Here is a 15759-nt window from a genome sequence, read left to right on the forward strand (position 1 = left end):
TCCAAATGAAGATTGGTGCTGTTATTAGTCACGGTTCTCCAGAGAAAAAGAACTAATAGAGCATATATTGATACATGGAAAGAGATTTGTCATGTGGAATTGGCCCACACAATTACTGAGGCTGAGAAGCCCCACAATTTGCCATCTGCAAGCTGGGAAGCTGGTGATGGAGTTCCAGTCCAAACCCAAAGGTTCGAGAATCTGGAGAGCCAGTGTCATAAGTTCTAGTCTGAATATAAAGGTCCAAGAACCAGAAGCACTGATGTCCAAGGGCAGGAGAAGATGGACGTCTCAGTTCAAGCAGAGAGAGTCCATTTGCCCTTGCTCTGCCTTTTTGTTCCATTTAGGCCCTTAACAGATTGGACGATGCCCACCTGCATGGGTGAGGGAGATCTTTACTCAGTCTATGGATTAAATGCTAACCTTTTCCAGAAACACTCTCACACTTACACTTAGAAAAAAACGTTTTACCAGGTATCTGAGCATCCCTTAACCCAGTCAAGTTGACACAGAAAATCAACCATCACAAGTGCCTAGAAGCTTGATTTCCTGTGTTCCTCCCTTAGACACTAAAATGGAGTCTAGCCGTCCTTCGTTCTAGGCCCTTACTTACATCAACCTATTGATAAATTAGGAGCTCAGCTCTGAGTATAAAGACAGGGGTAAGGAATGGGAGGAGACTAACAGACTGGACTGGGGTAAAGCATGCAAAGAGCAATGGATGCCTCACTACCATCCCCCATTACTACTCTTTACCCCAGTTTCAGAAAGTTTTAAGCAGTAATAATAACAAGATGTTAAGAAGTTTGAAGAAGGCCGGGCGCAGTGGCTCAAGCCTGTAATCCCAGCACTTTGGGAGGCCAAGGTGGGCGTATCACCTGAAGTCGGGAGTTCGAGACCAGCCTGACTAACATGAAGAAACCCCGTCTCTACTAAAAATACAAAATTAACCAGGCGTGGTGGCACATGCCTGTAATCCCAGCTACTAGGGAGGCTGAGGCAGGAGAATCGCTTGAACCTGGGAGGCGGAGTTGCAATGAGCCAAGATCGCGCCATTGCACTCCAGCCTGGGCAACAAGAGCGAAACTCCATCTCAAAAAAAAAAAAGAAGTTTGAAGAAAAGGAGATAATTGTTACTTAAACTGGACAGAGAGGTTTCTTTCATCAGACTGATCCTCCAGCCTCTCTCTGAGGTGATGTATTCTCAGAGGCAGCCACATCTACTAGAAAGTGAGGAAAATAATTGTAGATAATTGTGACTATTCCCAAAAGTGAGAAATTGTTTGTAATTTTGTAAACACAAACATCTAAGCTAAATTAAATTAAAGATGTGGGAATTCACACAAATAACATTGGACGACTGAAATGTCCTTTGGGGAGTTTGCTTTCCTAAATATAGAAAGGTGTTATCCTGAGCTGCCCACATCTGGATCTGTGTATTGCCCTGTAAGAAAGAATAAGACAAGTGAAATAGCCACACACATAGCCCTGGGTAGATGTATTGCATAAATGTCTGAAAGGGATTTGAGTTCCGTTGGTGCCAAATTGTGTCACAAGGAAGAAAGTTCCAAACTGAGAAACCCCACGTCACCATACCAGAGCCACTGCACTAGATTGAAGCAATTTTTATTCTTTCTGCTGAACTAGAGAATCACATGGATGTGTCTTTGGAGCACACTTCAGGCAACCATTTCCTTTTCCTCTTGGTGCTGGTCATCCTTCCACTGCAGGCATCTGTATCCGTAACACATTCAAGGCATGCTAACTTAGGGGACCTGCATGAGACCACATCTCAGAGCACCGTCTGTGAACCTAGCCTAAGGTGCTTTTGTGAGGTGTTGGGAAAGGAAGAAAGGAAGGTGGGTGATTAAAGTGAATGGAAGCAAAATTACCATTCTCAACTTTGATCTATAAGGATCAGTATGGAGAGAAATATTCCTCCCACCCTAAGCTCTCAGAGAACGCTCTGCTAGGGCGATATGACAAAGACACCATCCTCACTGAGGAAACTTCTGTGTTCAGGTGGCTCCACGAGATCATTTATAGTATGAGGAATACGTTTTTGCATTTCATTTTGCCATGAACAAGTGATAAGGACGTAGCCCTTCCTATAAAGTGATTCGTATTTACACGCTGGTATTTCAAATGCTTCTGTTAAATTACAATACACTCCTTCTACAAGACCTTTGCTCCTGTTACATTTCCTAATTCCATTCTTACATGGCACAAATCTGTTGTAACAGATTTTTTGGAGCTCGTCATATTGCATAAGAAGGAAGTAATGTTCTGCCACCCAACGGTGTTTGTAGTAAACATTTTTTCCCATGATTTCATGGTTACAGTACTCTATATGATTTAGTGGCATTCCAGGTTCAATAAGGACACGTCTTTTGACTTTTTCTTTGGTAGGTGGTCTGGCGGGCCCTGTACTAAAAAATTTTTCCAAACACTCTTCAAATTCTTCTTTTTTATCTTCTTCTGGGAAATCAAAATCTGTATCCACCTCTTGAAACTGCACCAGCTGCAGCAGCTGCTGCGGCAATAGAAGCAGGGGCAGTGGGTGTGTGGTGATGAGAGTTCTCATCATTTTTCCTGCAGACACTAAAAGAGATAACGGGATATGTTCTATTGTGATAATGTGCTTGCTTCCATTTCCTGTGTGGGGCACAGTTATGCCACATGTTGCTGTTCTGGGCTCTAAGATTTTGGACCATTTTTAAATTACCAACTCATAATCGATCTGAATACTTCTAAATTATTGACAAAAATGACCTTACTAGGCCTACAGTCAGTCTAGAGCTGTGGTAAGAGAAGAAAAGGTGAAAGGAAGGAGAATGAGAAAGGGAGAGAAATAAAGGTAAGGAGGAAGAAAAGGAAACAAGGAAGAAATGGAGCAAGAGAGAGATTAAGGAGAGAGGGAAGGAGAAAGGAAATCAAGACAGCAGTGGGGAGAAAGGGAGGGTGCAGAGAGGAGGCTCACATGCTCCTTTCGTCTGAAATAAATGCATCTTTTCCCTTTCCAGGAGTTGAGAACTTGCTCTGAAAAGAGCCACCCTCCCCTTTCGAACATTCCACTTTGATAAGAAAAATTCCTTAACCATGTCTTTCTTTCTCCTCTTGCCCTTATTTGACCATAGATGCCCTTGGGGAAGGGGTCAAGGAAGGTTCAAGTTTGAGCAGCTGGGATAAATACATTCTTGAAGTCACCCTAAAGTAAAAACAATGATACACAGTCATAGCTAGCATAATGAGGAGTTAAGTGCCAAGCACTAGACTAAGCACTCTAAGTACATTATCACCATCATCCAAACAACCCTATAATAAATATATTATTTTTAGCATTGTTGTTATTATAACAATGAAAGTTGCAAAAAGAAGTGTAAAGTTATTAACATCTCTCCGTGAAGGGAAGTTGCTTAAAATCTCACATTAGATCCGGCAGACTCCTGGTTCAAGCCTATTTTTGTCTAAATTCCACACATCTGTCCTTAGCTGCTATTCTATGGCCTCTATCAGTCTGGTTTCCCTTCTTAAGGCTAGACTGTATCTCTCTCTCTAGGCTGTCAAACACAATGACTACTGAAATGGCCAGTGCTAAAACGGAATTTGAGCCCCTAGAGTGCTTTGACAAATTGGTCCATGCTCCATGAAGAACCAATTATTTAATTGCAGAAGCAACCTCCTGAGTTTTCTTACCTTACCAGGCTCGTTGTAAAAGAAGTCCTACTTGGTGGCAACCTGAGTGATTCTCTAACAGTCATTACCTGGAGACCTTGATCTATCAGTGATGGAGATGGACAGCCTCCTGTTCTAGGCTGGATACTAAGTTTGTATATATGTGTGTAGAAAGGTTAGAGAATGATGGAATTAAAGAAAGGTGGGTGTTGGGGAACACATCAGAAAGTAGAGACAGGAAAGTTGAGCATAGGAGTGCAGAGAATGGGAAAGAAAAGAAAAAGTTGCCTAAAATGGCGATGTGAGAATGGGCACTCTGGGGCGGCCATGTGCCACACTGTCCCTCCCCTCCCTGCTTTTCCTCCCATCCCTGCTTTCACACTGTCATCAGTGTCCTCCAGGAAGTCTCTTCAAAAGAGTGATCCCATGGTGACAGGTCAGAGAGCTCGGAACATACTCTCACAAGAACGCGGAGCCTCTGCAACATCTTGATCTGGAGAGAACATGGACAGTACACGTGTGAAAAGCAGAATTCAGGCAGCTGTGGCCCTGCCCTTTCTACTTCCCGAGAACATGCACAGGGCCTGTCCAGAATACTCTTTTGTTTTTTAAATCTGCAACCTTCTTAATTCTTGATTTATGAATTCAACTTTTGGTTTCATTCTTCTCAAAATCCTTTCTCATCTCAAAGTATGTGAATTTTTTAAATACTGTATTTTGTTACTTTTATAGATTTTTAGAAATCTTTCACCATCTGGAATTTATTTTAATAGATAGTAAGAAGTTAGTGTGGTCTTTTTTCACATGGTTTATACATAATCTCATCATCAATTATTTGGGAAAAAATCTATTCTCTCATCCCTAATTTTAAAAGCTAGTTTCTATATTTAATAATTCTGTTTCTGAACAGTTTATTGTGTTTTGATATGCCAATAATATACTGTTTTACTTATTATCATTTTACTGTTTTTTTTTTTAAGAGTCATGGTCTCACAGTGTTGCCTCGGCTGACTCAGAACTCCGGGGTTCAAGGAATCCTCCCACGGCCTATCAAGTAGCTGGGCCTACAGGTGCACTACACTGTACCTGTACTTATTATCATTTTATAAAACATTTTGATATCTCATAAAGCAATCTACACTCATTCCTCTTCTTATTCAAATGTTCACTGCGGAGACAAACACAAAGTAGATTATAGGGTGCCCGGGACAGGTGGTAGAAATGGGGATTAACAGTAAATGGAAGAAAGAGAGACAGAGGAGAGAGAGACAGAGAGAAAGAGAGACAGAGAGAGAGAGAGACAGGGAAGCAGTGAGGGAGGGAGGGAGGGAGAACACAGAATAAATAGTGTTGAAACATGATCACTCAGTGTTTCTGAAGTTTTTGCCTGGTAATCTCACACAGCAGAAACGCCTCTGGCCTACCTGTGGAATGCAGGCTTCTTGGTTTTTCCTCAGTTCTCACTAATTGAAATTTCTGTGGATGAATCCAGAAATTTGCATTTTAAACAAATTTAAAGGTGATTCTTAGCTCACTAAAGTTGAACAAGGAATTTCTTAATATGCATTAAAATGAACTTGTGAAAAAGAAAACATCCTAAAACAGTAGGGAAAACGTTTGGCCCTTTCAGCAAATGTTCTTGGAAGAAGAATGGGATGAATTGCTTCCTCCTTTTGGCTATTGTGAATCATGTTGCTATGAACATGGGTGCACAAATACCTGTTCAAGTCCCTGCTTTTCTTCCCTGCTTTTAAACTTGCTTGGAAGGTTTATTGTAACTTAGAATTGCAGACTGAGAAAGGCCTTGGAGGGGTTGTCTATCTAGTCTCTCCTCCTAAAATGCAAGTTCTGAGCCCCAGATCAGAACTCTATATTTAACCACACACATAAGAAGTTTATAGTAAAAAGAAAAGATTGGAATGAGTTATGGGCTTGTAGGTGAACCAATATGTTTCAGAAGGATTATTAAGTGGTATTTTAAATTTTTAAATTTAAGTTTAAGATTAAAATTTAAATTTAAAACTGATTTAAATTAAATTAATTTTTAAAAAGATTTGTTTGAACACCTTATATAATAAAGCATCAATAAATCATGATCATATAATAATTATATAGCCTCAATCACAGAAGGAAAAACTAAATTAAATCTTTTAAATTGGCAATAATTATAATAACTTACAAACTCAATGCTGATAAGAGTGTGATGAGATGTTTCTGCAGAAAGAAATTGTTATAATTTTTTTGAAAAATTTGAGAAATACAATAAAAAGAATAGCTGATACTTTTCTCTAGCATTTCAATAGCTAGAATTCTAAGTTGCAATAATTTATATTGAAAGACAAACAGCAAATTTTACTTAAAAGGGAAAAAAATTGAAATTTTAAAATATAAATATCCAAAAATGTGGGAAAGGGAAAGGTTAAAATGAGTCTGATGTGTTTATAGAAATGACAATACACATTGCAATAATAATTATTATTATAAGAGCTAATATTTATTGAGACAGTATTTTATATTCATAGAATTGTATATTCTTAGAATGGGCTATTTTTCAGAATTTACAAATATATTAATCAATAAAGTTTTAGATCATCTGAGAAACAAGGAGAATAGAAAAAAAGCATTAAAAACTTTAGAGATATGAAATATTTTGTGATATAATATTATAGTACTAGGACTCTCTGGTTGACAGTGAGAAAAATTCCAAACAAATTACCTTAAATGCAAGAGGCACTATGTTGACTCACAGAAGTTGGAAGTCCAAGAGGTAGAGCAGGAGAAAGAAATCAAATTCTTGACTAGACTCTTGTTTTTACTCTCTCCCACTCTACTCTCCTTTGTACACTAACTTTATTCTCATGTAGGGGCCTCTCCATGTAATGACAGAGTCAATCACTGCCCCCTTTGTAGCCTTATATTTAGGATCACAGTAGGAAGTGCCATTCTCTGCCACCTTCACTCAACATGGAAAATAACTTTTCTGATTGGCTGTGCTTCTGTCACATGAATAAATCCAGGGATGTGGGGCACTCTGATTGGCTACCTGAAACACATGTCCTCTTTGAGAAGTAAAGGCAAAACTACACAATTAAAACCCAACAGAATTCCAATTGTCGATAGAAGGGCTGTTCCCTATTACACAAAAAAGGAATGGAGACCAAATCCGAAAGTAATAAACGTGCTTTGCTGTTTAGCTGGGGGAAAATCAAAACACTCCATCTACAGCATGTTCCCAATTAACAGAAATATAGATTACAAGGGAAAGAAAAGAAAAAATGTAATAATAATAAGTTGTTATTTCTGAATGATATATTTCTGGTTAATTTTTTATTCTAATCTTTAAAATTGTCAATTTTACAAATTCAAAAAAATAACAAAATATCATTGAAGAAGTCAAGTTTTAAGATCTGGATTGGCCATGTTCTTAAATATTAAGTGATAATTTTCCAGACTCCCACATGTTTATATCAGTAAACTCATTTTTCATCAGCATCAGGAAAATCTGTGCCTTAGTTTGAGTGGTTGAGAAAAGACAGATTATAAATCTTCAATCCTCAGAATTAGACTAACCTTTGTGAATAAATCCCAGGGTATCTCTTAGTTAAATCCAGTAGAAAAATATAGGTTTTAACCAGCTTTAAATTAAATTTTCACAAACATTTTGAGGCAATATTTATGTCTCAAACCTTTACACCCATGATTGAACTGAGAATGGTATCAGGATGGGAAAATCTGGAGGAAAAATGTTATCCTTGTGAGTAAATAAGAGAATCAACAAGTTCACTGGTATATCACACCTTTGGCCCAATTCAAGACGTTTCCTCCCTTAGGGCCACTGTAAAAACTTGAGTGTCAGAGCTTAAAGCAGCACACAGACTAGACATACAGAAAACAAGTGTTTCTAAATAATTGAAAATCAACCTTCGGAGCATAAATAGAGTAATTTTCATATCTGATTTTACAAAAATGAAGTCAAACCAGGTCTGGGTTCACAGAAATCTCTTCAGAACTGACCGCACGTTTTTGCAAATTTATTTTACTCATATCTTATTTAGCTTTTTAAATGTACAATTCTGCAAAATTTTAAAAGGACTTAGGTAGATATTTACTATTTTTCATGTAATGCTAGTGTGAGTCTAGAAGGTATAGACTGAGATGTGGCCTCTGGTTTTGTTTGATTTCCTAAGTTGGTATTTCTCAGGGATCAGAAATAGCAAGAAAATTGAAATATGGAATATATGAGGATTGGCTCTCTCCTAGATTTGACACTGGAAAAGGAAGTAAACCTGGTGAAACAGTAGGTTCTATATTAAGAAAAAAATAACATACATCCCAGTTTTCATGTCATGCACACACATACACACACAGTCTACAATTTATGATGAACTAGAAATCAAAGTAATATTTTAAAAACAATATTAAGGATATTGAATTAAAATATGCAGAATATTTTTCACAGTTTTTGAGTAAATAAAAGATGTTCTTATTAAAAAAAGACAAAAGCACCATCACAAAGAAAATTACTGAAAGACTTGATTACACACACATAAACTGAATCGCATACTATATACATGAGTGCACAGAAAATTTCACCATAAACAAAAAGCAAAATAAGAATCTCTAAATACACCAAATATAAGATTCAAAGACCATAAACAGCTTAAAAAACACTTTCTAAACATGTGCAGTGTGAATGAGCTTCTCAAACTCAGGTGTAAATAAAATGTTAATTTCTTCTCTAAATCCAACATATCTGTACCAAAACCCCAACTATTGAAGGTGGCAGCAAAATGTAGTTCAGTTATTATTCTAGGTGTCTTCCACCATTCTTACAGAATCAGAGAAACCCAGGAATCTGAAGTTATCCTAGCACAAAAAGTTCAGTACTTTATATGTGAGTGTTGATTGACATTATCAAAGTTTCTCTTTCTGTTATAAATGGCCTTAATATTGAGCAGAGATTTTCATCTGCATTTCAGGTATCTAAGAATTTAATACTAATGCTATTAACTTCCACTTGAGCCATTAAGGCCCAAAGATATGACAACTTCTTGTGTTATAGAAACAAAGAAGTTCTCCCTTTCTTTTCCAGTCTTCTACAGCAATAAAAACTAAATGTCAATCTATAACATATGACAAGGTAGAAAATGTCACTTTAAGAAGGCTGCATAATATGGTTTGTATTATGTTCACTGCCAGTCTTTATTCAGATTGTATTAATCGTGAGCCAGTCACTCTAGTCTCTTCCTTCCTTCCTCTGGGTCCTTATGTCTGTGAAGAGAAACTAATAGGTCCCAGTCTGGTATAGCCTCAAGCAACACCTGAGGCTCCCTATACTTTCAGAGAACTAAAATACTTTAGATATGGCTTTGAAAAACAAGATAGAGAGAGAGAAAGAGAGCAAAATGGCAGAATAGAAGATTGTCTGGCATCATTCCCTCCCAAAAAAACATAACTAGAAACTACTCAAAGACAAAAATACCACCCTGAATCCCTGAATACAACAAAACTTGGGGGAGAAGTAGAGAAACCCCCTTGATCCACAGAATCAAAACAAGCCACCACCAGTAAGAGAAATAGCCATTTTAGACTGTGCCAACCCTTCTGCAAGCCACCAAGCCTTCCCCAACCCTTCCCCTTCCATGGAGCATTTCTGTGGCAGGTCAATTCTCCCTGACAATCACACAGACAGGCCTGCATAGCACTCCACTTACACAGACAAATTTCCACAGAGCTGCCGTAACATTGAGCAAATAGTTAAACCTAGAGAAATTGGTGCCCAGACATCAAGGAAATGAAACATATGGTCAGTAGGAGCCTTGCATGAGCTTTTCCCTAACCTGGAGCAAGTCAAAATAATAGGGACAGCCTTACATTCCTAGTGCCAGGACCTGTCTTGGATGCTGAGATGAGTCAAGGTAACAGAGACAGCTGTTTGAATAGATTTATTGAAGAGTCTAAGGCAGCTCTCCAGACCAAGCTGTGAAGGAAATGAGATAGAAATAATCACTCTGATACCACAGTAGACAGGCCTTGAAGATACTGGGGCCCTCACAGCTTAATCGGACTTAGCAAGCATTCTTTTTTTTTTTTTTTTTTTTGCCTCTGATCTTCTAGTTGAAACAAAATTAATTACCAATAGACTTAGACAAGTGCTATACTGCATGTAGACACATAACCCCAATCTATATAAGAAAATTGTAACACTTTGAGTTGGTCTGATGGAATTATCTCCATTCTTCTCCCTGTATCCTGTAACAGCAATAAATTCCCTTCTTATCTAGTTTGTCTGCTTCTCGTTATTGGGCCACAAGAAAAAGCAGCCGAACCTGGCTTATTTCCGGGAACATTTCCTTACACCCATAGTTGCTGAGGTGAGAGGAGAGAATTGGAGGTGAACATCTGACCCCACCACTAGTCTGGGAGTTTTCATGGGAAGCCCCATTCTGGTCCCTTCCCATAGGAACTATTGGGAGTGCCAGGAGGACCAGACCACCTGGGGTGAATTGAGATGTTGACTGCAGTGACTGGCACATGAATCATGGTGTCTACTCAGTGCTCCAAACAGTGAGGGTACCGCACTGAAGAGATTGGCTGGTATCATAGCGCCACAGGGGGCACAATCTGTGGGAAGGCCCAAATTCCTAGCCAGGTTTTTCACAAAGCCCAGGTGCTCACATGGAGCCCTCCTCTGGCCTGGAAACAACTAAAAGATCAGGATTAAGTTGCAGTGCCTGTTTATGTCTTTCTCAGACTGGGAAACAATTTAGTTCTAGAGCAGTGTTTAAGTTCCAATGTTCTCTATAAATCTTCCCCTAATTAGAAAACAATGCCAGGAAAAAAAGTTAGTTCTAGCGCAGTGTTTTAATTCTAGTGCTCACTATAAGTCCCCCCAAGAACCAGAAGCAACAACAAGCCATATTTAAGTTTTGATACTAAGAAGCGAAACCCTAACATCACCAAAGAACAACTAGAAAAGCTGGAAGATGTATCTATCTCCTCAAATGCACAGACATAAAAGTGAATCAATAATCAAGAACAAAAACCGTATGATCATGTTAATAGATGCCAAAAAAAGCATTTGTTAAAATTCACATCTTTTCATGATGAAAACTTACACAAACTGGGTGTAGAAGGAATATGCCTCAAAACAATAAAGGTTATATATGACAAACCCACAGCTAATATCATACTGATGGGAAAAAACAGAAAGCCTTTCCTTTAATATCTGAAATAAGGAAAGGATGCCCACTTTCATCACTTTTATTCAACATAGTACTGGAAGTCCTAGCCAGACAAATTAGGCAAGAAAAAGATAAACAAATAAAGGGCATCCAAATTGGAAAGGAGAAAGTCAAGTTATCCTAGTTTGCAGGTGACATAATCTTATACCTAGAAAAATCTAAAGATTCCATCAAAAAACTGTTAAAACTGATAAATGAATTCAGTAAGTTTGCAGGACACAAAATTAACATACAAAAATCAATAGCATTTTTATACATCAACAACAAACAATCTGAGAAAGAAAGCGATCACATTCACAGTAGCTGCAAAATATTATAAAATAATTGAAATAAGTTTAACCAAAGAAGTAAAAGATCTCTAAAGTGAAAACTATAAAACATGGATTTAAAAAGTTGAAAAGGACACCAGAAAATGCAAAGACATCCCATTTCCATGGTTTGGAAGAATTAATATTAATAACATGTCCATACTACCCAAAGTGATCTACAGATTCAATGCAATGCCTATCAAAATACCAGTGACATTCTACATAGAAATAGAAAAGATAATCTTAAGATAAGTGTGAAGCCACAAAGGACCCTGAATAGTCAAAGCATTGCTGAGCAAAAAGAATAAAGCTGGGGGCACCATACTACCTGACTTCAAAATATACTACAAAACTATAGTAACCATTATAGCATGATACTGGCATAAAAGCAGACACATAAACCAATGGAACAGAATAGAAAACCCTAAAATAAATCCACATATTTACAGTCAATTCATTTTTGGCAAATGTGGCAAAAACATACACTAAGGAAAGAATATCCTCTTCAATAAATAGTGCTGGGGAAACTAGATATCCATAAGCAGAAGAGTAGATCTAGACCCTTATCTCTCACCATATACAAAAACCAAATCAAATGAATTAAAAACTTAAATATAAGGCCTAAAACTATAAAACTACTGAAAAAAACATTGGATAAGTGCTTCAGAATATTGATCTGGGCAAAGACATTTTGGGTAAGACCTCAAAAGCACAGGCAACAAAAGCAAAAATAGACAAATGAGATTACCTAAAGCTAAAAAGCTTCTGCATAGAAAAGGAAACATTAAGAGTGAAGAGACCACCTACAAAATAGGAGAAAATATTTGCAAACTACCTATCCGACAAGGGGTAACCAGAATACATAAGAAATTCAAACAACTCAATAGCAAAAAAAAAATTTGATTTTAAAATGGGCAATGATCTGAATAGAAATTATTTAGAAGACATACAAATAGACAACAGGTATGTAAAAAAAGCTCAGTCACTAATCATCAAGGAAATGTAAACCAAAACTATAATGTGTCGACAAAAAGAGTCAAACTCTGTAAAATACTTGAAGAGGTTTATCCTGAGCCAAATATGAGTAATCATGGTCCATGACACAGCCCACATGAGGTCCTGAAAACATGCAGCCAAGGTGGTCAGGGTACAGCTTGGTTTTATATATTTTAGGGAGGTATGAGACATCAATCAGATACATTTAAGAAATGCATCAGTTTGGTTCAGAAAGGCAGGACAACTCAAAGCGGGGGCTTCCGGGCTTTAGAAAAATTTAAACATTTTCTGGTTGACAATCGGTTGAGTTTGTCTAAGACCTGGGATCAATAGAAAGGAAATGTTCAGGTTAAGATAAAAGATTGTGGAGACCACAATCTTTTGATGTTCTTTTGAAGTCTTATAGTGGCTGCCCTTAGAGACAATAGATGATAAATGTTTCCTATTCAGGTCTTTAAAAGGTGCTACACTTTTAGATAATCTCTTCAGGATTGAGAGGGCCTGGAAGAAAAAGATCTAGCTATGTTAGTAGAGATTCTTTACAAATGCAGATTTTCCCCCACAAAGGACACTTTGCAGGGCCATTTCAAGATATGGCAGAGAAACATGTTGTGATGGTTAATACTGAGTGTCAACATGATTGGATTGAAGGATGCAAAGTATTGATGTTGGGTGTGTCTGTGAGGGTGTTGCCAAAGAAGATTAACATTTGAGTCATATGTAACAAACCTGCATGTTGTGCACATGTACCCTAGAACTTACAGTATAAAAAACAACAACAACAACAACATTTGAGTCGGTGGGCTGGGGAAGGCAGATCCACCCTTAATCTGGTGGGCACCATCTAACCAGTTGCCAGTGAATATAAAGCAGGCAGAAAAACATGAAAAGACGAGACTGGCCTAGGCTCCTAGCCTACATCTTTCTCCTGTGCTGGATGCTTCCTGCCCTTGAACATCAGACTCCAAGTTCTTCAGTTTTGAGACTCAGACTGGCGCTCCTTGCTGCTCAAGCTTGCAGACAACCTATTGTGGGACCTTGTGATCATGTAAGTTAATACTTAATAAACTCCCCTTTATATATAAACATCTATCCTGTTCGTTCTGTCCCTCTAGGGAACCCTGACTAATACAGATTTTGGTACCAGGAGTGGTTCTAGAGGAAGAGAATATTAAGGATGGAATTCTTTTATTGGTTTTGGGGTTTCTGGAGTTAGCTGCTTAATATGATTAGACCCCAAAATGCTAAGGACTGCACTTCTAATAGTATGGAAAATACTGATAGTCTTTGGCATTAACTGTTTAGAGACTTATGCAAAATAAATGCACTCGACACTCCTGATTCACCGCTCATGAGAGGCAAGGAGCTTAGTGACTCTATATATAATACCTTTGACTGTATGTGGAGAGCCAAGGAACATGATGAAGCTGTTAGTTGCTCCTAAGTTCAGTGGATAAAGTGATGAAAGAAAATTATGAACTCAAGGATTCTGTCTCTCAGCTTCAGAAGCAGATACTGAGCCTCAAATCTACTAAGATTGCTTTGAGTGAGAGTCTTATCTCCTGTAGAAAAAGAGGTGAAATTGTGAAAAAACAGACACAGACTTTTATCATGCGAGTGGCTGAACTGCCACAAAAGGGGCATGCACAGCCTTACCAGGTGTCTACTGTTAAAGTGAGGGCATTGGCTGGAATGGGACCCTGCAACTTGGAATGAGGACGTGTGGGAGGACCCTGATGAAGCTGGGGACACTGAGTTTGTAAACGCTGATGAACCATTTTTGCCAGAAGATACAGCTTTCTCATCCCCAGTAGTGGCAACATCCCCTCCCCAACCCATGCTGCTATCAGCCTTTCCACCTTTGTCTGAGGAGATAAACCCTGTGCTGTCTGAGGCAACACTGATGGCCCCCCATGAGGCAGTTGCCAGTCAAAATAATGTTGATTCTCCTCAGGAGCCACCCCTAACACTCCTATCTGCTTCTAGACCTGTAACTAGACTAAAGTCCCAGTGGGCCCCTAGAGGTGAGGTTCAGAGTGCGACCCATGAGGAGGTATGCTACACTTGAAAAGAACTGCTTGAGTTCTCTAATTTATATAAACGGCAGCCTGGAGGGAATGGGAACGGATATTAAGGGTATGGGATAATGGTGGAAGGAACATAGAGCTGGATCAGGCTGAATTTATTGATTTGGGCCCACTAAGTAGAGACTGTGCATTTAACATTGCAGCTCAGGGAGTTAAAAAGGGTTCTAATAGTTTATTTACTTGGTTAGCTGAAATACAGTTTAAAAGATGGCCCACTGCAAGCAAGCTGGAAATGCCTGATCTCCCTTGGTTTAATGTAGAGGAAGGGATCCAAAAGCTTAGGGAGATTGGGATGGTGCAGTGGATTCATCACTTTAGACCTACTCATCCCAGCTTGGAGGGTCCAGAAGATATACCCTTGACCAATGTCTTGCAAAATAGATTTGTAATGGCAGCATCTGCATCTTTGAAGAGCCCTGTACTTGCTCTTCTCTGCATGTCAGGTCTAACAGTGGGAACCACAGTCACTCAACTACAAAATTTAAATACAGTGGGAATGATTGGATCCTGAGGTGGCAGAGGCCAAGTCATTACATTACTGACAATTTATGCAGTGAATCTTTCTCCTATCTTTCCCCAAGGAGACCTCCAGCCTTCTACCAGGGTAACTGTACACTGGGAAAGGGAAATGATCAGGCATTTTGGGGACTACTGGACACAGGGTCTGAGCTGATGTTGATTCCAGGAGACCCAAAACGTCACTGTGGTCCTCTAGTTAAAGTAGGGGCTTATGGAGGTGAGGTAATTAATGGAGTTTTAGCTCAGGTCCCACTTACAATGGGTCCCCGGACTCATCCTACGGTCATTTCCTTAGTGCCAAAATGTGTAATTGGCATAGACATACTTAGCAGCTGGGAGAACACCACATTGGCTCCCTGACTGGTAGGGTGAGGACTATTATGGTGGGAAAGGCCAAATGGAAGCCATTAGAGCTGCCTCTACCTAGAAAAATAGTAAATAAACAACAATATCATATTCCTGGAGGGATTACAGAGATTAGTGCCACCTTCAAGGAATGGAAAGATGCAGGGGTGAGGATTCCCAACACATCCCCATTCAACTCTCTCATTTGGCCTGTGCAGAAGACAGATGGATCTTGAAGAATGACAGTGGATTATCGTAAGCTTAACCAAGTGGTGAGTCCAATTGCAGCTGCTGTACCAGATGTGGTTTTATTGCTTGAGCAAATTAACACATCTCCTGATACCTGGTATGCAGCCATTGACTTGGCAAATGCCTTTTTCTCCATTCCTGTCCATAAGGCCCAACAGAAGCAATTTGCCTTCAGCTGGCAAGGCCAGCAATATACCTTTACTGTCCTACCTCAGGGGTATATCAGCTCTCTGGCTTTGTGTCATAATCTTATTCGAAGAGACCTTGATGGCTTTTTGCTTCTGCAAAATATCACACTGCTGGTCCATTATGTTGATGACATTATGCTGATTGGAT

The 15759-nt window shown here is 38.9% G+C and overlaps 1 protein-coding gene across 8 annotated transcripts, besides 1 other annotated feature; it reads right to left on the bottom strand.

Moving 5' to 3' along the window:
* Positions 1-1610: 1610 nt before the first annotated feature.
* Positions 1611-6565, bottom strand: RNASE9 (ribonuclease A family member 9 (inactive)). Of its 8 annotated transcripts, none has more exons than NM_001110361.1 (5): positions 6392-6449; positions 5855-5889; positions 5100-5151; positions 4133-4168; positions 1611-2601 (listed from the first exon to the last, which is right to left on the bottom strand). In NM_001110361.1, coding segments are annotated over exons 4-5 (633 nt in total). In that variant the 5' UTR covers positions 4134-4168; positions 5100-5151; positions 5855-5889; positions 6392-6449; the 3' UTR covers positions 1611-1969. The 8 variants fall into 8 exon arrangements, with proteins under 8 accessions (NP_001103831.1, NP_001103829.1, NP_001276039.2 ...); NM_001110359.1 differs by having other exon boundaries at positions 4058-4168; NM_001289110.2 differs by lacking the exon at positions 4133-4168 and having other exon boundaries at positions 6392-6565.
* Positions 5006-5585: an enhancer, noted in NCBI's record as "OCT4-NANOG hESC enhancer chr14:21027647-21028226 (GRCh37/hg19 assembly coordinates)". NCBI's record gives its function as "activates a minimal SCP1, AML or CMV promoter by ChIP-STARR-seq in naive H9 embryonic stem cells {active_cell/tissue: H9 hESC(naive)}" and the evidence as "EXISTENCE:reporter gene assay evidence [ECO:0000049][PMID:30033119]".
* Positions 6566-15759: the final 9194 nt, after the last annotated feature.

Source organism: Homo sapiens, chromosome 14, assembly GCF_000001405.40.
Source record: "Homo sapiens chromosome 14, GRCh38.p14 Primary Assembly".
Classification (NCBI taxonomy): domain Eukaryota; kingdom Metazoa; phylum Chordata; class Mammalia; order Primates; family Hominidae; genus Homo; species Homo sapiens.